General features: G+C 44.8%; 1 protein-coding gene and 2 pseudogenes across 2 annotated transcripts in view, besides 3 other annotated features; 1 reads left to right on the top strand and 2 right to left on the bottom strand.

Moving 5' to 3' along the window:
- Positions 1-21203, bottom strand: part of ANTXR1 (ANTXR cell adhesion molecule 1) — a 236184-nt gene that overhangs the window by 59055 nt on the left and 155926 nt on the right. The window contains exons 14-16 of one of the 2 annotated variants that reach the window (NM_032208.3): positions 19984-20025; positions 8392-8487; positions 7613-7780 (exon numbers count right to left, since the gene is read on the bottom strand). In NM_032208.3, coding sequence (NP_115584.1) covers positions 7613-7780; positions 8392-8487; positions 19984-20025 — 306 coding nt within the window. Of the gene's footprint in view, positions 1-7612; positions 7781-8391; positions 8488-17714; positions 17907-19983; positions 20026-21203 lie in introns of those variants that run through there. The other variant, NM_053034.2, reaches the window with a different exon arrangement.
- RNU6-1216P (RNA, U6 small nuclear 1216, pseudogene) lies at positions 7290-7396 on the bottom strand (annotated as a pseudogene).
- On the top strand, positions 8270-8376 carry RNA5SP96 (RNA, 5S ribosomal pseudogene 96; annotated as a pseudogene).
- Positions 11602-11896: an enhancer, noted in NCBI's record as "tiled region #12475; HepG2 Activating non-DNase unmatched - State 5:Enh, and K562 Activating DNase matched - State 5:Enh". NCBI's record gives its function as "activates a minimal TATA promoter and a strong SV40 promoter by Sharpr-MPRA in HepG2 and K562 cells {active_cell/tissue: HepG2 | K562}" and the evidence as "EXISTENCE:reporter gene assay evidence [ECO:0000049][PMID:27701403]".
- Positions 12622-12916: a silencer, noted in NCBI's record as "tiled region #8391; K562 Repressive non-DNase unmatched - State 8:EnhW". NCBI's record gives its function as "represses a minimal TATA promoter and a strong SV40 promoter by Sharpr-MPRA in K562 cells {active_cell/tissue: K562}" and the evidence as "EXISTENCE:reporter gene assay evidence [ECO:0000049][PMID:27701403]".
- Positions 18522-18816: an enhancer, noted in NCBI's record as "tiled region #10320; HepG2 Activating DNase matched - State 5:Enh". NCBI's record gives its function as "activates a minimal TATA promoter and a strong SV40 promoter by Sharpr-MPRA in HepG2 cells {active_cell/tissue: HepG2}" and the evidence as "EXISTENCE:reporter gene assay evidence [ECO:0000049][PMID:27701403]".

Genomic DNA, 21203 nt, shown 5'->3' with positions numbered 1-21203 from the left:
CCACGGCATCCCGACTGCCAAATGCCTTGACACTCATTTTGCTTGGTTCTTTGGGGAGATCCGCTGTGCTGGGCCTCTCCCCTGCACACTCTCCCTCAGTCTCTGTGCCACGAGCTTCTACCTGCTCCCTCCGACCTCTCTGCCAAGTCCTTTTCAGCTTCTTCTGCTCCTCCCCCTCTGCCTACACCTGACATGGTGGCCTTCATTTGGCACCTCTATTCTCATCTCTCAGCTGAGTGCTCTCATCTAGTCTCATGGGTCCAACTTCCACCTATCTGCCGGCAACTCAAAAATTCTATACTCAGCCCAGTCCTCTCTTGAGCTCCAGATCTGGGTATCTATTTACCTATTAAATCTTAATTGTAATGTGGATGTATCATATCACATCACAGCTATCAAAAAGTCAAACATTATAAACTGAACTAACTCTTCTCCCCAAACCTGCTCCTCCTTTTGCACACCCTGCCTTGATTCATGGCACCACCAATCTCTCCAGATGGGCACACTGGGTACCAGGAATCATTCTAACCTCCCTTCTCTCTGCCACCTGCTCATGTCCAACATCAACCGTGTCTCGTTAATGTTCTCTCTGTAGCAGCTCTGCTGCCGCCTCTTCCCATCCACCCCTGACCCACCACCTCCACAGCTCCTGCCTGGGCCCAGGCCCTCATCATCTGTCACTCATTCTGGGAATAGTTTCCTGATTGGCCTTTCATCTCCAGGGTTCCTGTCCTCTCTCCTATTGATTAATAAAGAATTTTACTGTGAGCCCAAATGGATGCACTGCAGTCAATAAAATGAACCATGAAACATCTTACTGGCCAGTGTGAATTTGGGTAAGTTACCTAACCCCTCTGTGCTCTGGTTTTGCATTTGTAGTTTCTACTGATCTGGGTGTCTATTTACCGATGGATAAGTACTTTCTACTTTCAAGGGCTGTTATCAATAATAAAGGCATTAGTGCATAGAAAGCGCTGCCCGACTTGCAGGGCATGCTTGATCCGGGTGAGCTGCTGTCATTGGGCTCTTCTGGCCAAGGCGAGATTAGCTAGTTCCAGGTGTATCCTTAGCATTCTGAGTTCTGATTGTCCCACAAATGAACCTAAACTCTCCAGTCTGTGGCATAGAAAACAATCCAGGCAATCAATACAACCTATAACCTCTTTCTACTCCTACAACAGGTAGTTTTTATGCAAGAGCTTTAGAAAAACAGTGTTTGCAACCAAGAAGTAAGCTTTAGAAAAAACAGTGTTTACAACCAAAATCAGAATAAAAAATAACTCTCAAAATTCAATGAGCACTGCATGACAAAGGCTCTTGGAACCTTGATTTTTCTGAATGTAGGCAGAAGTCTGTCATTTAAAGACAGTAGTAGTGGGCTCGTTAATAACAACCCTTTGGGGCTAGATGTGCCATAGAAGAGTCTTCTAAACAGTCTCTGGGCTTCACCTAAAGTCTTAGAGGATCCTTCTGAGTTGCCTCCGCTTTATCTATCTCAGACTTGGATGTCTGTCATGCACAAACCTCTCCACAGCATGCACTTAAGACACTGGTCCTCACTCCCTGGCAAAATGCCCAACTGCTTCTGTGAAGCTAGGACAAAGATTTATCCACAAGCCTCAAGCCCTCTGGCAGATTGTATTAGCTGACATTTATAAATAGCTTTCTTTCATTTGAAGTTGACAAATTTTGACTATAAAATGAGAAATTTACCAATTCCATGCTCCCAAACTGTATCTTAGCCACAGAAAATACCTGCCAATTCACAAAGGCAAAGTGGAAGTTCTATGTAAACTCTAGCTTTGGTTTCTTTCTAAGCAATAAGACTGTGCTGGGAATGATTATGCAGCCAGCATTCATAGCATTCTGGAGGTAGGGAGCCGGGCACGGTGGCACATGCCTATAATCCCAACACTCTGAGAGGCTGAGGTGGGAGGATCACTTGAGAGCAGCTTGGACAACACAGTGAGATCCCCATGTTTACAAAAAATTAAAAAAATTAGCTGGGTGTGATGGCTTATATCTGTAGTCCCAGCTACTTGGGAGACTGAGGTAGGAGAATCCCTTGAACCTAGGTTGATGCTACAGTGAGCTATATGATCGCACCACTGCACTACAGCCTGGGCGACAGAACAAGACCCTATTTTTAAATCAAACAAACAAAAAACCCAAAGCACCCTGGGTCATCAGCTTTTGTGGTGGGGTTTCCTCTTTTTTTTTTTTTTTTTTTTTTTTTTTGCCAGGCAGCAGTTGTATCTTTTCTTCTGGTTTGTCTGCCTTAGCCAGCTGGAAGACAGTCAGAGATTGAGAATTCTGAGAGTAGTTCAACTTATAAGGCCACTATAAACTGACACCTGACTTTTTACACTTTGAAATACATGGTAGGCCAGGTGCGGTGGCTTATGCCTGTAATCCTAGCACTATGGGCGGCCGAGGCGGTCAGATCAAGAGGTCAAGAGATTGAGATCATCCTGGCCAACATGATGAAACCCAGTCTGTACCAAAAAAAATACAAAAATTAGCTGGATGTGGTGGCACCCGCCTGTAGTCCCAGCTACTCGGGAGGCTGAGGCAGGAGAATCACTTGAACCTGGGAGGTGGAGGTTGTAGTGAGCTGAGATTGCGCCACTGCACTCCAGCCTGGTGACAGAGTGAGACTCTGTCTCAAAAAAAAAAAAAAAAAAAAAGAAATACATGATAAATAGTGTGACCCAGCTTTCCCCCAAAGGAAATAAATTAATGGATTTAACGGATAACGTCAGAAACTTTCCCTACACACAGACACACATGCACTCATGAGTGTGTGCATGCCATGCATAGGATAGATTTTGTTGCGCTTTTTTTTTTCTTCTTTTGGTTTTTAAGAAAATTTGCCCATATAGCTGGGCATGACTTCACTTGTCTGAAATGGTCAGCTCCAATTTAATGAGAAGCACGGGGTATTGTAAATCCGGGGGTGAAAACCAAGCAAAGGAAAATGCAGGCTAAATATCAGGGAAAATTTCCCGATCATGAGTCTGGAATGAGGAAGGGGGGAAGTGTGGTTGGTGTGGTTGGTGCCTTAAATTAGACGGGGAGATGGTGGGTGGAGAAGAGCCCACTGTGGACTTCTTCCCTCCGTGTGTTCTCTCTGGGTTTGCTTGGCAAATGTGCTCACCTGCTTCTCAAAAACCCCATTTCATGTAAAGCAATGGGTCTAATGCAATGCAATTCAGTAAGTACACGATTCTGGCTCCTTTCACTGGGGAGCCATGAGTCTTTCCAATACCTGCTGACAGTTTTGTGTGAGGTAGAGCTGTTGTTCTCCTTGCTTATAGCAGAGGTACAAGGCAGGCAGCGAGTGGATGGGTCACTCTCCCTGACCTGCCGGCCCCCATCCATTCTCTGCCTGCCTTCTCCATGCCTTGGAAGCCTGCCTCTGGATCACCTAGCTGCCCTTTGGTCTTGGTCTGTAAAGAGCCAAGGATTTGCAGGGCAAGAGGCAACATTATATAGGTACTTATATAACCTTTTAAAAATGTAAAAACCATTCTTTGTTTGCAGATCATATAAAAACAGGTGGATTTAGATTGTCAACTAAAGAAACAGTTCCTGTCGAGTAGTCTCTTTGCAGGGCTACAGCTCTTTCTGGAACCCAGTAACACCATTTCCCCACATGCTCTTCAGGTGTAACAGCTCTCGCTGTTGCCAGCCCCTGGTTGCCCCATCATCCCTGGGGATTCCCTTCGCTTTGCCCACATCTCTGTTAGTTCAACTCTTTTCAGTGTGCTTTCTGTTTCCTATTAGGACCACGGTGAGTTCGGGAAAGGGAAGCAGAGTTTATGGTACCACATAAGGCTAAATGTTTTGTCCAAGGCTGAGCAAATGTCCTTAGGCATTGTGGCTAGCACGGGACTCATTGTGGATCGAACATCATGTAAAATAGGATGAACCCTGAGATTCTGGAAGCAAGCCTGCCTTACTTCTGGACGGAGAGCACACATGATTACTTTTGAATTTCTTCCTGTGCTTCTATCCTTCTTGTTGCATCTAAAACAATCTCTTTTTCTCTTCTCTCCTCAGAGAGATGGCATGAAGAATGTCAGTTTTCTGGATAGAGTATGCCAAAATGGTCTGTGTGGTTTGACTGGCAGGATGCTCTGGGGAGTGGTTTCATAATTACCGTTCATGCCTCAGCTCTTTAATAAGGGATGAGCCAGGTACAACACTGTTTACTGGGGATTCAAAGCATAGCTGGTGCCTGCGGGGGGTCAAATCTAGTGGAGAGAAGGCTCATAAACATGAGTAATCACACCAACGGCTATGTATGCATTTCCTCTACAGTAGAAGGAGCTGAGTAAGCATTGGCATTGGCTGTTCCACCAGGCAAAAGGAGGATTCATGCTCTGCACGTCCTAACGAGGGAGTCCTGCCGAGGAGCTCTTCAAGTCCACCGGCATCCTAGGTCATTTCCATCTGGCCTTTTAGTTGACTCCTAAGACACTCAGATTCCCAACCACTTAACATTAATTCAGCAGTTGTGTTTGTGGTAAAAATGGACCCAGTGTGAACATTAATGTGGCTCTCCTTGCTGAGATGCCTGAAAAATCACCGCAGTGCAATCATGGCCTCTTTGCCTATTTTAACAATCCAGGCACCACAGTTCCTGCCCTCCAAGGACTTCCTATGGAATGCTGGCTGGGACCTTTGGTGACAACTCTTCTTCTTTTTTTTTTTTTTTTCTTTTTTTATTTGAGATAGAGTCTTGCCCTGTTGCCCAGGCTGGAGTGCAATGGCACAGTCTCAGCTCACTGCAACCTCTGCCTCCTGGGTTCAAATGATTCTCCTGCCTCAGCCTCCTGAGTAGCTGGGATTACAGGCACCCACAACCACGCCCAGCTAATTTTTGTATTTTTAGTAGAGACAGGGTTTCACCATGTTGGCCGGGGCTGGTCTCAAACTCCTGACCTTGTGATCCACCCTCCTCGGCCTCCCAAAATGCTGGGATTACAGGCATGAGCCACTGCGCCCAGCTGGTGACAACTTCTTAACTCAGCTTGTTAAAACCCAGATGGCTGGGCCCCACTTCCAGCGTTTTTGATTTAGTAGATCTTAGGTGGGGCCGAAGAATGTCCATTTCTAACAAGTTCTTGGGTGATGCTGATGCTGCTGTTCCAGGGACCACCTTTGAGAGCCAGTGCTTTACTACAGAGACTAAAAAGAAGCTCAAGAGTCAGGACTGATGAAGTGATAATTGGGGCAACAGAGGCCTATCACTCAGGGAGTCTGGAAGTGAAATTAGAGAAGGGAGGCATTGTGAACAAAAGGAGTTTCACTTGATAGGAAAAGATGGGCGAATGCTGAGAGCCAGTGTGCTTTTGGAGGACTTTTGTGAGATTCTGGGTCACTGGGCCTGGGAATCTGTATTTTTTAAATCACTCTCAGGTGATTCTGACACTCAGCCGGGTTTGAAAGCCTCTGTATATTCAACATCCTACAGTGCCTGGCACACAGTAGCTGCACAATGAATACTCACTGAATTGATACTAATTCCAAGTGGGTGTTGGGAATGTTTTTAGATTTCTAAACGTATTGGCCCATATACTTATTTATCTCATCAAATTCAGTCCTAAACCGCCAGTCAATAGAGGACTATGCTCTCAAGTAGAAACCGGAGTTTTCAAACAGAATTAATGTTCTCTCAGTGTCCAAGATTACAGAAACAAAAACCTGGCTGTAACCAAAGATGTGGCGTTAGTCACAAGGTACAGATTCCTGAGAACGGCATAACAGAAAATCCCCTTTCTTCTTCATGGCTGAGAATCTGCTTGGCTCCTTCCTGTCTGCACATGCATGCACGCCACTGCATGTTCTTCATTAGAAAATAATTAGAAGCAAACAGCTGTTATTCAAGCAAGCTGCATTTTGCCCACATCTTTCCAGAGTTCAATCCATTACCCCAGAGGGCAGGCTTATCCTAAAAAAAGAATCTCACTGCTTCAAACATGGCAAACCAAAATAGAAATGCGTGGCAATTCAGGTGAGCTTGAGCTAGCTCAGCTGAGGAAAGGTAACCACCAATAACGTTTCGCTACACTGCCTGAAATGGTACTTCTTTTGATTTGTTGGAGAAGCCCTGATCCAAAATTAGCAAATTAACTCAGCGAATGATGAAAATAATCTTTGTTGCTATTGGAAGGGGGGTAAGGCTGTGTGTGTGTGTGTGTGTGAGTGTGTGTATGTGTATGGATGGTGATGGGAGCTGGCTCTATTGAGTCTTTGACTTGAGGCTTTGGAGTTGGTTCGGTTCTGTTTGCAGCTTGAAACTGGAGTCTGTAGCCCTGAGTTGGGGGCCTTGTTTTCCAGACCTCAGCAGAACAAGGACTTTGCCTATCTCAGTATGAAATCAGAGAGTGGGGACAGATTATGTCTAGAGTCTTTTCAGCTATAATTTTCCAGTGCTCTCTGACAAGTGGCATAGTGCAGATGTTTATGGGCATGGCTAAAGATTGAAGGTGTTAACTGAATCATGTGAATTCAAAGCCATTTGGACCAAGAAGAATAGAAAAGAGGCCTTCAGGCTGGGCATGGTGGCCCATGCCTGTAATCTTAGCACTTTGGGAGGCCGAGGTGGGCAGACTGCTTTATCAGGAGTGCAAGACAGGCCTGGGCAACATAGTGAAATCCGTCCCTCAAAAAAAAAAAAAAAAAAAAAAAAACAAAAATTAGCTGGGTGTGGTGGTGCGTGCCCGTAGTCCCAGCTACTTGGGGGTTGAGGTGGGAGGATGGCTTGAGCCTGGGAGGTCGAGGTTGCAGTGAGCAGAGATCACACAACTGCACTCCAGCCTGGGTGACAGAGTGAGAACCTGTCTCAAAAAATAAATAAATAGAAAATAAAAAAGAGGCCTTTAGGAAACATTAACTGCCTCCAACGGTTTACACTTCCCAATAAACCAAAGAGGATTTTAAGATCTGGAGGTGTGGGGGAAAGACAGATGGTGGAGAAAAAAGATTTGCTTACAACCAGAAAGAGTGAGTCCTAGATCCATGACCAGTGAGATTTGCTGGTGGGCCCTGATACACTGGCAGGAGGCGCAAATAAAAGGGAATGGGCTTATATTATGGCAAAAGGAGTAGAGATTAGCATTAAGGAGAAGGCTGCCATTTTTCTTAGATAGTAGATTGTCTGCTAAGTGAAGTTATGAGATGCTATGGAAATTTATAGTCACTCTCTGGGGTTACTACCCAAGTTACTTGACTCACAGTCCATGCTTTTTCCAGTACCTTGCCATGGTGATTTTTTTTTTTTTTTTAATATGGAACACTTCACGAATTTGCATGTCATCCTTGCCCAGGGGTCATGCTAATCTTCTCTATATTGTTCCAGTTTTACTATATGTGCTGCAGAAGTGAGCACCACGGTGATTTTTAAAAAGCCTAGTTTTCAACCCAGATTATGTGGAAATTGACAAAGTAATTACTAGTACTTTCAAGTCCATAATTTTAGATAATTGTTCCCCTGTGATAAGCTGGGTTTTAGGTTGGGATTTTATCATGTGGAAAGATTTTGATTCTTCACTATGTAAGTGTTTTATCAGGACTGATGATAGATTTTTTGAGTAAAGAGACACACCTTGATTGGAGAGTACCACTTCCGGGGGGAAGAAGGCCGACGCATATTGTTGTTGAGATTTCGCGGCTCAGGGAATTCATATTCCTGCTCCGGCATCTTGACTCTTGCATTCTTTGCCTTTTCCAACTTAGCACCTTCTTCTGTGGAGCCCTTTTCTCCCCAACGAACCTAAAATAAACAAAATACAATGAAATGAAATGACAAAATATGCTGCCCCTCGAGAATGAGAATGACAAATACATGCATGAGTTGCAATGTGAATGCTACCCAACCCTGGATTCCTTTGGGTTTTGAGGGCCAGGGAAGAGGGAAACTGTGGAAAAAGAGAAAAGGGGAGGACCAAAGGAGCAGAGAGCTGAGCCACATGGGTGGATATTTAGGGAGGAATTGTCCAGGCAGCGGGGACAGCACATGCAAAGACCTTGCAGGTTCAGGTACGAACTTTGGATTTTATTCCAGTGAGAAAAGAAATCACGAGGACGTTTGAGCTGATGTGTGACCTGCTCTGACTCACGGTGGGCAAGACATGGAAACGCACAGTGAAAGGCTGTCCCTCCTATCTCTCCATCCGTCTGCCTTACAATCCATATCCCCACCAGACCTCAAGGAGGTTTTCAGCAATTTGCTTTGGGTTTCTGACATTGAGTCATCAGTGTGGTCTACGGCCATACTGCCCTGGGCATGCCTGATATCTAGAGGCTAAGCAGGGTCAGGCCCGGCTGGTACCTCGATGGGAGTAGTCAGCACATAGATAAGTGTATATGAAGCTGTCCTCTTACCTCCATTCTTTTAATGCCTCCAACGCCTCTCCCACCATAATAAGAGGCGTCTACCGTTGGCCACTTTTTCTTAGGCAGACCATCATCATCTTCTTCCTGCAGAGAAATTGTGGCACATGAAGGAAGCAAAACAGCACTGCTGTGTGGACCTGCCTACTACAGCCAAGTGATTAGGAGTAGAGCTTATAGAGTCAGACTGCCTGGGTGCAATCCCAGTGCTACTGTTTCCTAGAACCTTGGGCCAATCACTGAAACCACCTAAGCTTGTTTTCCTTATCTGTAGAGTGGGAATGTAAGCAGTGCTACCTGGTAAGTTTGTGGTACAGTCCTGTTCTCTTGTTCTCTTCTACAGCTCTACTCCTTTGTGGGAATCGCATCTAACCCCACCTACATGCTAATGACTTGTGACTTTACATCTTCAGCCCTGATGCTTCTGAACTCCAACTGCTCACTTGACATTCACATTATTTGGGGGCTAAAAAACATCTCAACAACACCACAGCAGAGATGTCCTGATTTCCCTACCCTAAACATGCTCCTCCTGTAGTCTTCCCCACTGCCTCTCTCTTCTTTACTGCCTCTCCCCAACTTGTCCCAACTTGCCAGCTAGTTCTGTTGCTACTACTTAAAGATCTAAAATCTGTTGACTTCTCCATCCCCACCACCACTATCCTGGGCCCAAGCCCCCATGCACTTGCTCATGGACACTGTGGTAGCTTCCCAACTGGCCTCCTGCTGCCCTAAGACTCACCTATGATCTGTTCTCCACAAAGCAGCAGAGTAAGTGCAAACGCCAGCTCTGCCCTGTGTGTTCTGGCCTTTGCTCACCTTTCTGGCCTTCTTCCTTATCATGTGCCCCCCTCCTCCTGAGCTCCAGCCTGCCTGCCCTCTCTCAAATACTCTGGGCAAATTCCTGTCTTGGGGCCTGTGCACAGTGTCCCCTTGTCCCCTTGTCTAGGAAAGCACTTCCCCCACCCCATCTTCTGATGGATGGATTTTCATATTACTCCTCAGAGAAACCTCCCCTGGAAATTTCTTCTAAAGTAGCCGCGGTCTCTTCATTCCATCAATCTGTTTTATTTTTAGTTAAGGATCTCATCATGGCTTGATATTTACTTAATATCTGTCTCTCCACACTAGAACGTACGTTCCACAGAGGCTTTTGTTTGTCATGCTTACAATTGTATTCCCAGTCTTTAGAATAGCACTATGTTGTATGTGGTGGGTGCCCAAGAATTATCTGTTGAATTTACAAATAAGTTAAATAAGATGACTCAAATAAAGCAGTTAATTAAGTGTCTGCAACTTAGCTCAGTGACAAGAAGTTAGTGTTTATATTTTTTAAGATGAAGAAAGAAGATGAGGAACTTGTAACTGTGGATGGAAAAAGGGAGGAGATGTAGCAACTGCTCTTCATCTTGGCACTGTAATTATTCTTGTTGTGGGGAGAAAAATATCACCATTTATAGTCATGGATGGATTATAAGGAAGTGGCATGATTTCTCTCCTGGGTAGAGAAAGGAAGCTGGAAAAGGGGTTGATAAAGCAGAGGAATGAACAAAAGAGGGAGAAATTGCTCACAATGCTGAAGCCTGCTTCTCACAGCCTTGTTTTGGTGGCATTTGGGTGAAGTCCTATGCAGGGCACCACTGCGTGGGATGGGGCACCCCATGCAGGAGGCAAGGTGCAAAAAAGCAAAGGCAGGAGAGGTCAGGACAAAAGGTGACAAAGCAAAGCAGAAACATGTTGGCACATTAAGACTCCCTGAGTTACATGTTGTGCTTGGGATGGGCAGTCTTCTTTAAAATGATTTTCAAAAAATTTAATACATCTTAAAGGACAGAGAGGTCACAGCAGACTAGGACGTACAACATTCTGACAGCTGACACTTGGGTGTCTCTCTCTCTCTTACTTGGTTGCTCGCTCTCAGATTCTGCTGACCCTTGTATTCTAAGTGCAAAGTAGGTGCTCGATAAACACATATTGCATTCATGATAACACACCATTGAATTTATGCAGCCTTTCCCATGTTATGTGCCAGTCACTCTTTTGAGCACTTTAAATGTATTATTAATCCTTTAATCTTGCAACCACCCAGGAAGGTACATGGTGTTATTATTCCTATTTTAGAGAACGAGAATAGAGACGTTAAATGACTTAGGTCACCCAGCTTGTATGTGACAGAGCTGGATTTGAACTCATGCAACCTCATTCTCCTTTGATTGTTTCTCAGCATTGGCCAGTCTGGATTTTGTTCTTTTGTGGTTTGCTTTTCCAATCATTTGATGGCAACAAATACACGCTCATTTTTGACTTCTCCTTGTACCTGCTAATTTTGATAATTTTTTTTTTTTTTTGGAGACAGGGTCTCACTCTGTCACCCAGGCTGGAGTGCAGCCTCAACTACCACAGCTCAAGCAATTCTCTCACCTCAGCCTGCCTGAGTAGCTGGGACTACAGACACATATCAATGCACCCAGCTAATTTTTCTATTTTTTGTAAAGATGGGGTTTTGCCATATTGCCCAGGCCGGTCACAAACTCCTGGGCTCAAGTGATCCTCTCACCTCAGCCTCCCAATGTGCTGGGATTACAGGTGTGAGCCACCGCACATGGACTTAATTTTGATAATTTATAACTGCAAAATATAACAAAATAAAGTCCCCAACACAATAAAATATTATAGTTCATATTACTTTACCTTAGAATTTCCGAGGTTTCTTTCACCTTATGATGTGAAAGCAGGAATCTTATATGTCCTATATGTGGTTAAACTTTACATTGGAGGTGGATGTATGTTTCTGTGTAAGTGGCTGTGAACACAGATATACAAAATATGGCTCTGAAAGCCTGGGCATTCCCAGTCTGGGGCAGTTTTCCAAAGGAGATAACAGAAATTCTATCCCCTAAAGCTGAACACAGCAGCACCACGAACGTTAAGAAACTCCAAGAATAAAGCCGCTTTATTCCACAGGGGACTCAACTAGGTTCATGAGCCTCTTAATTTTTTAGGAGCTCATCTAATTAAGTCTTTTCACTGCACAGAAGAGGAGTCAGATCTAGAGAAATGAAGTGACCCCTAAAGGTGAAGTTCTGGTGTGGTTTTCTGATGCCTTGTCCAGGGGTTTTTCTCCCCCTATATTTTACGAAAAGAACTTAAAGAAGGATTTACAACTGGCTTTCTCTAATTCGCAACCCCGCTGAGTGCTCAGGATATAGTAAGATGCATGAAGCCGGTTTCCCCGCTTTCCAGGTTCCACTTGCACACGGGGGCAGTTCTCCCTCTAGTCCCTGGCCCCTCCCTCTTGCCCCTGGCCCCTCCCTCTTGCCGCTGGCCCCTCCCTCTAGTCCCTGGCTCCTCCCTCTTGTCCCTGGCCTGGGGAAGGAGGCGCCGCCCTCGTGCTCAAGGGCAGGGCCTGGCCTTCTCGCAACAGGAAATGCCTAGGGCTTGGGCAATCTCCACACGCTGCCGCGCCACCGAGCCCGTCGCTTAATCCCCTGACCGGAGCTGGCCTGCCAAGCTCAGACAACAGCACCAGGCAGCACAAAGGCCCAGGGGCTGACGGACGGGAGAGTCAGAGTTTCCCCTGCAGTTAGCATGGGTCTGTTTACACATTCTGGAGACAGAAGGGTTTTGCAATCCCCAGGAAGAGAAGGGAATCTTTGATGTGTCTTTCCATTTGGCCAAAAATGGACGGAGTAGAATCCCAGCCCCTCAGCAAGGCCACTAAGAAACTCGGCAGCACTGGAGGGTGGATTTTTACATCTCATTAAATCATAAAGGCTCTTGAGATCTTCCTCCTACACTGCCCTTCAAGGATGGTAGCAGGGAGGGAGAAAACACCAGTATAGAAATCCTCAGTGTGAGCTGGCTTTCCTTTAGTAAACAAAACAAAACAAAAACCTTGCTGTCCTCTATGGTTATTGGAGGATGGGGCTGGATGAGCCCAATTGCTGTGAATGAGAAATCAGGGGCTTGTGGGGAATGAGAAGATGAGCAGAACAGAGTGGGGCAGAGCTACCAGTGAACAGCTACGACCCCCAATCCCCCCGAGTGGTGGGGGTGGCCGGTGGTAAATAAGAGTCCCTTTAATATTCCGTCAGGGGTTGTGGGCTGCACTATACTTTTAAACCTTCAGTAAAATTTGCTGCGCAGTTGGATTTGTGCCAGAGCTGCTAGATCGTGTCTAGCAAACCGAGAAGATGAGATAACGCGGAAGAAGCGAGGAGTAGGAGTCAGTGGTGCCTGGGAGAAACCGCAGGGATTGGGGAGGGAGGCCGGTTTCCCATCAAGGGAAGTTGTGTTTAAATCTGAAAGGATGTGGTGGCTCCAGACGTCCAGCTGGCTGGAGCTTGGGTAACACAAATGGCAGCACATTCCTCAGATGGTAGAGGCCCCTTCTGACCTGCGTGTCCTCAGGCAGACCTGGGTGTGCCTGCAGGCACAGTGCTGTTCGAGGAAGAAACAGCTGTAGAGGATGAAGTCTGTGAACTCACTTGGTTAGCCTGTAATTGGATTAGCCCTGTGCTGTCCTCAGACCCTGAACTTTTCCCATCTTTCCCAATCATGCCAGGCTTTTGTGCAGCTCCACGCTTCAACATGCAGGGCTCCACATGCCTGGAAAGCCCTTCTCCCATTGCTTCTACCCATCCCTTAATGTTGTTTAAGCGTAACCTATTCTGCCAAGAACTCCCGGGTTCCCCAGAGAATGCAATGCTCTCGCCTCATGAGTTTCCACAACTCCACCTTCCACTCACTCAACACGTTTAACTGTTAGTTATTAAGCAAACCAGAGGGTAGAAAGGATGAATTTTCCAGATTCTGGGACTGCCTCACTCCTGCATGTATACTGTGCATGGGACAACTCCACAGACTTGATGTGAATAGCGTCCCCTGGAGTTGTGCAAAGGGTGGCCCTCTCAGACTCAATTGATAAGTTCTTTAACTTTCCTGCTTCTCTGGTATCCATTTACTAGAAGAGCCACATGGCCGGTTTGACTCAAGAAGGCTTACAACTCCCAGTTCACTGCAGGTTTCAATAGGAACTATCAATGAAAAGGAGCACATAACTGAAAGAGAATCAAACCCAAGGCAGTAGCTTTAAATCAGCTTTTAAATTAATTTTAAATGTCATTGAACTGGAGCACATCTTAAATGCATAAGCTCAACAAGAGATTTTTATTTGTCAATTATTTCACTAACTCAAGCAACTATCATTGAGTCCCCATCACCTGCCAGCACAGTGTTATATTTTGAGAAAATAAAGAGAACTCAGCTGTCGACAATATTGTTTACATTTATAGAGGAGTGAGTTTCGTGAGAATGACGACATGAATTAAAGGACTAAGGCTACAGAAACTCCCAGGTCTGGGAGGCTTCGAAGGGCAGAACTTAAAGTAGAACTGGCAGGACTGTCTCATTTGGTCTTTGGGGAGAAGTCAGGGAGATCCCCTCAATGTCAGTCTTGGAGGTAAACTCCTAGGAGTGAATTGGCAAGTCAGAAAGATCCAGCAATACTTCTGTTTGTAAATACAACACTCCAGAGGATTTAAGATTTCACCATTCTGAGCCGCATTTCACATGTCATGGCACCATTATATCTGTTTACGTAAACAAAGTGATTAAAGACAACACAAGGATTGTCCTGTATTCTTCAGTAAAGAATAAGGTGTTTATTTTCCTAGCAGCAATGTTCTTTTTTTTTTTTTTTAAAGTATTAAAACATAGAATACGGAATTTTGGGCCTTCTCTAGGACTTCTGTTTGGAGTGTATGTGTGTGTGTGTGTATGTGTGTGTGGGGGGGTGTCTGTGTATGTGTATTTAATGGTCACTGGCAAGAAGATGCCTGACAGTAGCTTGGCCCTTCATCCCTCCAGGGTGGAGGCTACTCTGGGTGTCTGTGTAGACATGGCTGGAAGGATGCCAGACCTGTTGCTATTAGGAGTTCAACTTATCTGGCCCTGTATAATTTTCCATAGCTCAGTTTTCCTATCTAAACATTTCTTGCCACAGAGAAATTTTTAGGATCAGTGAGCATAATAATAAATCTGAAAATAAGCTCATCCTTCAAAGCCAGGTGCCTATTGTTCACTGGATGGGCATCAATGCTTTCAATAGGCACCCCTCTCCCTTCAGATACAAAATACCAACCTATAGATGTCCACATATTCACATCCTTTCCCACTCTCACCCGCCCCCCAGTGCATATATACTAACCCATGATTAAAACAAGAAGACACATTCTTCTTTTTTTGGAAGAGTTGGGGTCTTGCTCTGTTGCCCAGGCTAGAGTGCAGTGGCATGAACATGGTTCACTGCAGTTTCCAGCTTCTGGGCTTAAGTGACCCTCCAGCCTCAGCCTCCCCAGTAGCTGGGACCACATGTGTGACAGCCACCATGCCAAGCTAATTTTTATTTTTGTAGATATCGGCGGCGGGGGCGGGGGGCGGTCTCCCTATGTTACCCAGGCTGGTCTCGAACTCCTGGCCCCAAGCAATCCTGCTTCAGCCTCCCAAGGTGCTGGGGTTACAGGAGTGAGTCACCATACCAAGCTCCCAGATATATTCTAAAGCTTCATGATGAGACATGGTGACATGGGAGCATGAAAGAGAAGACAGGCGGGAAACATAGGGATAAGAGAGCTAATGAGAATAGCTACACACTAGGGCCATGGACAGAGCACAGAAAATAAGTAACCATCTTTACGTCAGTCTTAAAAGGGGCTGTGTGCCCTGTGTGAGTGACACGGGTCAGAGACAGGTGACACTGCCACTCAAGAAAGGAGCACCTGATGCTCCCAACAATGAGCATCAGGAAGACTTGCTCTTGGTTGCAGGAGCTACATTGTCTTCAGGGACCAGTGAGGAAAGACTGCTCTATGCTTCTTTTTCAGGTACAAGTTTGAATCCCAGTCCCATCACTTAATAACTGAAATATTGGGGCCACTGGTATTTTAATCTCATTATACCTCAGTTTTGCATCTATAAGGTAGGGGTTCATAATAGCACACTTTTGTTTCAGGGCTGCTGAATGATAAAATGAAATGTACCACAAAAAGTGCTTCACATAATTGCCTGGATAGTTATAAATGCTCAATAAATGTCATCTTCAGTAATTAACCACTATTATTATTAATTTTCATACATTCACATGCAATATCCACCAGGAATCTCTGCCTTTCTTCCTGATTAGGACTGATTAGGTCACCAACTTTATAAATGTCCAGTTACACTCTCTCTCTCTCTCTTTTTTTTTTTGAGATAGAGTCTTGCTCTGTCGCCCAGTCTGGAATGCAGTGGTGTGATCTTGGCTCACTGCAACTTCCACCTCCCAGGTTTAAGCAATTCTTCTGCCTTAGCCTCCTGATCAGCTAGGATTACAGGAATGTGCCACCATGCCCGGGTAATTTTTTGTATTTTTAGTAGAGACAGTGTTTTGCCATGTTGGCCAGGCTGGTCTCAAGTACTCTGCCCGCCTCGGCCTCCCAAAGTGCTGGAATTACAGGCATGAGCCACTGTACCTGGCCCAGTTACACACTCTCTTAAGGCAACTCTGGCAGAGAATCTCACACTTGCTATCAGCGCACAGGAGCACTCATTCTAGAGTTGTTGAATAAATAAGATTTTTAAATATCAAAAAACATTGGGGCTACTTACATACCTTTTACCTCTACCCTATTTGACTTCTCTAATGTCCCTCAAGTCAGATTCTAAGACCTTGATTTGCTTGATGCTAAAAAGTACAATGTTTTAACTATTATTGCCTATGTCTCCAGTTTGGGTAGTTTCTTGATTTATTTCTGACATAATATTTAGTTGATTAAGCCAGAGGGTTTCAAAGGGAAATGAACAAGGGGAGGCGCTCTAGGCTCCAGGAAAGGAATGTTTTGTTTTTCATTGCAAATAAAATGTACTAGTCATCTGTCCAGCCCAGGTCTGGCCAAGGCAGTGTGATTAAGGAAGAAAATGGCAGGTGTTTCCAGAGCTATGCCTTTGATAGAGTGAGACAGGACATGGGAAAGGAAGCATCTTCTCTTTCCAGTACATTTACTTCATATGTAGGTCTGTGTGTGTCTGAGACATGGAGCTGCTTGGGGCTAAGCCATAACCCACTTTCCATTCAGTCATGGGGCTTCCTGCTATCTATTGCCTTTCAAATATGCTTGATATTGGGAACGATAGGATCTTTGAGAGCCTGTAAAAGTGGCAGATGTTGGAAGAATATGGTATGGATTCCTGGGTGTAGCTTTTATTTTGATAGTATTTAATGAGACCGAAGTTTAGTTTCTGAAACAATACTATTTCAGAGAGGCCACAGGGCCTGCACCAGGTCCATTCCTCCTTCTGAGGGGAGCTATTCTCACCATGGCCACGGGGCTTACTAGGAAGCTTCTCTTTGGCCAGATGTGACCCAAGAGCACCAGTCTGTTGGTTGGCTGTGAGCTGTGACTGATGATCTATGGTCTGGAGTGAAAAGATGAGCTGGACCAAGTATTTTCCCCTATTGGGAACTGAAAGATGGAAACTGAGAGACTCAGCTATAAGCACTGGGGGCAGATGGTGAAATGAAGACTAGAAATATCAGATGGAGTCAGGAGAGAGGGCTCTGTACAAACCAGAGTTACAAGGGCAGAGAGGCGGCCAGTAAGAGAAGGCAGAAGGGAATAAATTCCCAGAGAGAAGCAGAGCTGCTAGCAGTGAAATCGAAAGCCCATGAGGGTGGTGTCTAGAGCTGCCTCAGTTCTTTCCCCAGCCACAGTCTACCTGAGTTCTTTCATCTTGGACTAGCTTGAACTGGTCTCTGTTTTTTGCAGGCGAATGAGGCTGATAAAAACTCAAATATGGTCATAAAATCCATGGAAGGTGATTACATGCAGAACAAAACCGTCACATGAAGTGCTCCATTACTGCATTCTCCCACGAACTGCCAGTTATTTGGAGTAACTGGAGAGTTAGGGAGGGATCCCCACTGGTGCCACTTGAGAAGATTCTTAACCCAGGAAATGTCCCTCTTAGTTGTTAAAACTGAGCTTCCTTGCTTCTATTGAGCTCTTCAAGTTTCAAGTAATTTCTCTTTGTACCCTCTTCATACAAGTGTGTCACCGTTGGTTACATAGAATCTCAGCATATAGTTCCTTTTTCCATTCTGAATTTTTATATTTTCTATTAAAAAGGTCACTGAGAGCTTATTATAAAGTTATCTTCATTCTCTAAGTTTAGTTATTTAAATAGTAGACATGCCTCTCTCAGAATATGATGTTGATAGAGCTGATGAAAGTTGGGATAAATAATACTGAAGGTCTTCATATATACGGCAGAGAGTGTTTGATTTCATATAGCTATTTATTGAATGTTAGACACTGGGATTTGAATACAGGGAACTAGAGGAAAAGACTGTCTAGATTGAGACTATGATTTTCAGAGCATTGTATAAAATACGTTGCACGGGCTGTGTTAGGTTATCTGTTTCTGTGGGATTTCTTTCTTTCTTCTTCTTGTTATTTTATTTTATTTTCCTGCCAAAATACATTAGGAAGGAGATTAGGTGGCCTAACTCACAGGGCCAACACACACGCTAAGGCAATCAGCACATGCCAAAAAGCGCCTGATGCTAAAAAGTACAATGTTTAAATTTTTATTGCCTAGGTCTCCAGTTTGGGTAGTTTCTTGATTTATTTCTGACGTCATATTTAATTGATTAAGTCAGAGGGTTTCAAAGGGAAATGGAGGGGAGGGGATCTAGACTCCAGGAAGGGAATGTTTTGTTTTTCATCAGCCAATGAAATGTACTAGTCATCTGTCCAGCTCACGTCTGACCAAGTATAATCAACTGCAGGTGTTCACGTGAGTTATCCCTTTGATAGAGTGACAGGGGACAGGTGAGGAAGCTTCAGCCCAAAAACTCCTTTAAGCCTAACATAACCCTTTAGATTCAAGCATTCTGAGGTTGTCATTCTGTTTGGGAAATGAAGTCAGCTTTCTTTGGGTGTAACTACAACTTTTATGAAACAGAAAAAACTCAACTACTTCTCTTCCTTGCTTTTAGCTATCCTTCCTAGATGGTTTTCTAGTTTGGGCTTTTTTACTTGGCTCCAAAATTGTGTTGCTGGGTCCTTCATCCTAAAAGTCCCTGCTGAGCTTGTACTGTGTGTGCAACCCTAGGCTAGATGTTGGATCTGGGGTAAGTCAGAGCCCAGTCTTAACCTACATCCCCAGGTGCACTTTGGCCACTATGGCTGCCACGTCACCTTCTAAAGGCAAATACAGAGCAAGAGCCAAAAGAAAAAGCCACAACCCTTCTAACTGAACACAACAAGGGAGGGAATGTTATTTGCCTCCAGGCAAACAAAGTCCTAATAAGGGAGCTCCTTGCTCTATTTTATTTTTTATGTTTTGGAAGTCTAAGAGATAGCTGCACATAACAGAAGCAAAGCCAATTGCAGTCGTGGAACTAGCCACGGTACTTTCTCTTGAAGGATTAAGGAAAGGTTTTAATGTATGTAAAGAAGGTTTTTTCTTCTTCTTTGCACAGCAATGTAATTTCCTCCCTTGATTTCTGGGCAGAAAGTTAGCATTCCAACAAGATGCACTTTAATTGATTGCAGCTATTAAATCCCTTGGCTTACATGCGTATGGTTCAGGATATAAGAGCCACATGGAATTTTTAATTTAATCATTACTCTTTCTGTATGTAGGAAACTTGACAAATGCATTGGAAGGGGAAGGGTGAGGAACTGGCACTTGATTTGCACACAACAGACGTTAGGGATTGAGGACAAGAACTTGAAACCTTATCAATCTATCTTTTGGTCTCATTGAGTGTTTAGATATGTAACCCTGGCTTCTGAATGGGTGGATGTTACTTCTAGAGACTCCAGCTGTACTAAGAGTGATCAGATTAGCAAAGCCACTTGCTAGGCACTCTTGCCTTTCTCATGATTAGCCTTTAATGCCTCCACTGTATTCTACTCCAGGCCACCCTTGCATCAGAACAGTTTACTGGCCGATTCAGTGGTAGAGTCCAAGAATTTTTTTCTTTAGATGACGAGAATTTGAGAGGAAGGCCAGGATATTAACATATCCCTCTCCAGCGTATTTTCATTACTGCCTGGCCCATCTTTAGGTAATATTGTTTTTAAATGAAAGAAAAATGAAGAATTGGGCATCAGGTTATTCCTAGAACCAATGATTGGAGAATGTAGCAAACTGTGCCTGATCTACACACATAAAGCATTAAGTCTCTGCAGGAGAAGAGAATCTTAGGGTTTGTTTGAGAGGAAAAGTCAGTATCTCAAAGCTCCAAATAACTGTACTGATAAAAACATTTATTTCCATCTCACATTTTATCTCTGCAGGGAGAAAAACCTCCAAAACTCATTGTCTTTTCTGGCAGTTTAGTTCAGTTTCTTGTTCATCCCTGGTTAGGAAAGGCCAGACAGTTTCCTCCCTTCTGCTTCACAGGCAGGTACATTAAATCCTTTGAGCTTGACTTAGCTCTGCTCTGCAGGGGGCTAAGTGTCCAGCTGCCCAGCCAGCTCTCCACCCTACTCTGCCACCCTGCCCACCCACTGCCATCCTGCTGTGGTCACTTACCTCACTCTCCTCGGCAGGGGGTGGAGGGACCTCCTTGATAATCTGAAAAGAAAACAGAGAACAGGTCAGTGAAAAATCTCTGGCTACCTGCCTCCTAAGAGGCTTGCTGTCAGGAGGTACCGTGGTGGTGCTGCCATAATTACCATGGCAATGGCCCCAGCAAGTCGGGCTTAATCACTGCCATGAGAGGTGTCTTTGCTGGACAGAGTAGCTCTGCTAGTTAGCATATGACTCAGGCTGAGGGTTCCAGTCTCATTTGCGTCTCTTCTGGTTTTGTATAGAGAAATAAATGTTCCACAGGTCACAGTTTCATTTCCTACCCCAGATAACTATCATGCAAATTTATTCACTCATTTATTCACCGAGTCATTCACATATCAGATTATTTATTCATCCATCTATCCAATCGTCTACACATTTAACAAAGAATTGTCACACAATGGAAGTTAACATGGTGCTTTAGGGATGTGTCAAGCGTGGACCCCACGCGGGCTGCTGGCAGTCCTTCAGCTGTCACTGGTCCCCACGGGTGTCTTTGCAGGGTGGATGTGCTGCCCAGGCAGACCGAGTCCCAACAGAGGCAGCAAAGGAGTGTCCAGGGATTTCTTTCAGGGCACTGACACTTAGGGGCACAAAGCTTTAACTAACAGTGTTATAAGATTCTGACTGTCCCATCTTTGGGGCTGAAGAGAGACATGTGGAAACTCTGGATGGGCAAGTAATTGGGAGACAGTCTAACCCATGAGAGAATGATGACACATGGGATAAGGACAGAGCAGGGACAGCTGGGGCCAGTGAGCAGTCCCTCCTCCCTCTTGACCCCAACTTGTACCCCTCTGTCATAAAAGGAAAGCCCTCACCGTTAAATGGATTTAGAGTCTCTTACATGGCATTTGGCAATTATCTACTATAATTCCACTCTGTGCCTTGGAGGGCTTCCTCCTCTCACCCCAAACTTATTATCAGAATTTTGGGTCCCCTACTCAGTTCTTTTACTTAGAGGACTTCTGGCAAATCCAAAGCTCATTCCCTATCTCTTGATGCCTTAACATCAGGTGCTGCCTTTGTAGTTGGGTGCTCGGGCACAGCCCACAGGACCCATTTTTTCTTCCTCCAGTCGGGGAGCCGGGCTCTGGCTGCAGGCCAGGCTGCTTAGCTGGCAGCAAGCACCTCTTCAGCTCTCCCTACTCAGCACATGTCTCCTCTGGTTTGATGATTAT

The sequence above is a fragment of the Homo sapiens genome, chromosome 2 (genome assembly GCF_000001405.40).
Source record: "Homo sapiens chromosome 2, GRCh38.p14 Primary Assembly".
Lineage (NCBI taxonomy): Eukaryota > Metazoa > Chordata > Mammalia > Primates > Hominidae > Homo > Homo sapiens.
Note: the sequence above shows the minus strand (reverse complement) of the source record. Positions and strands in the feature narration are given on the sequence as shown.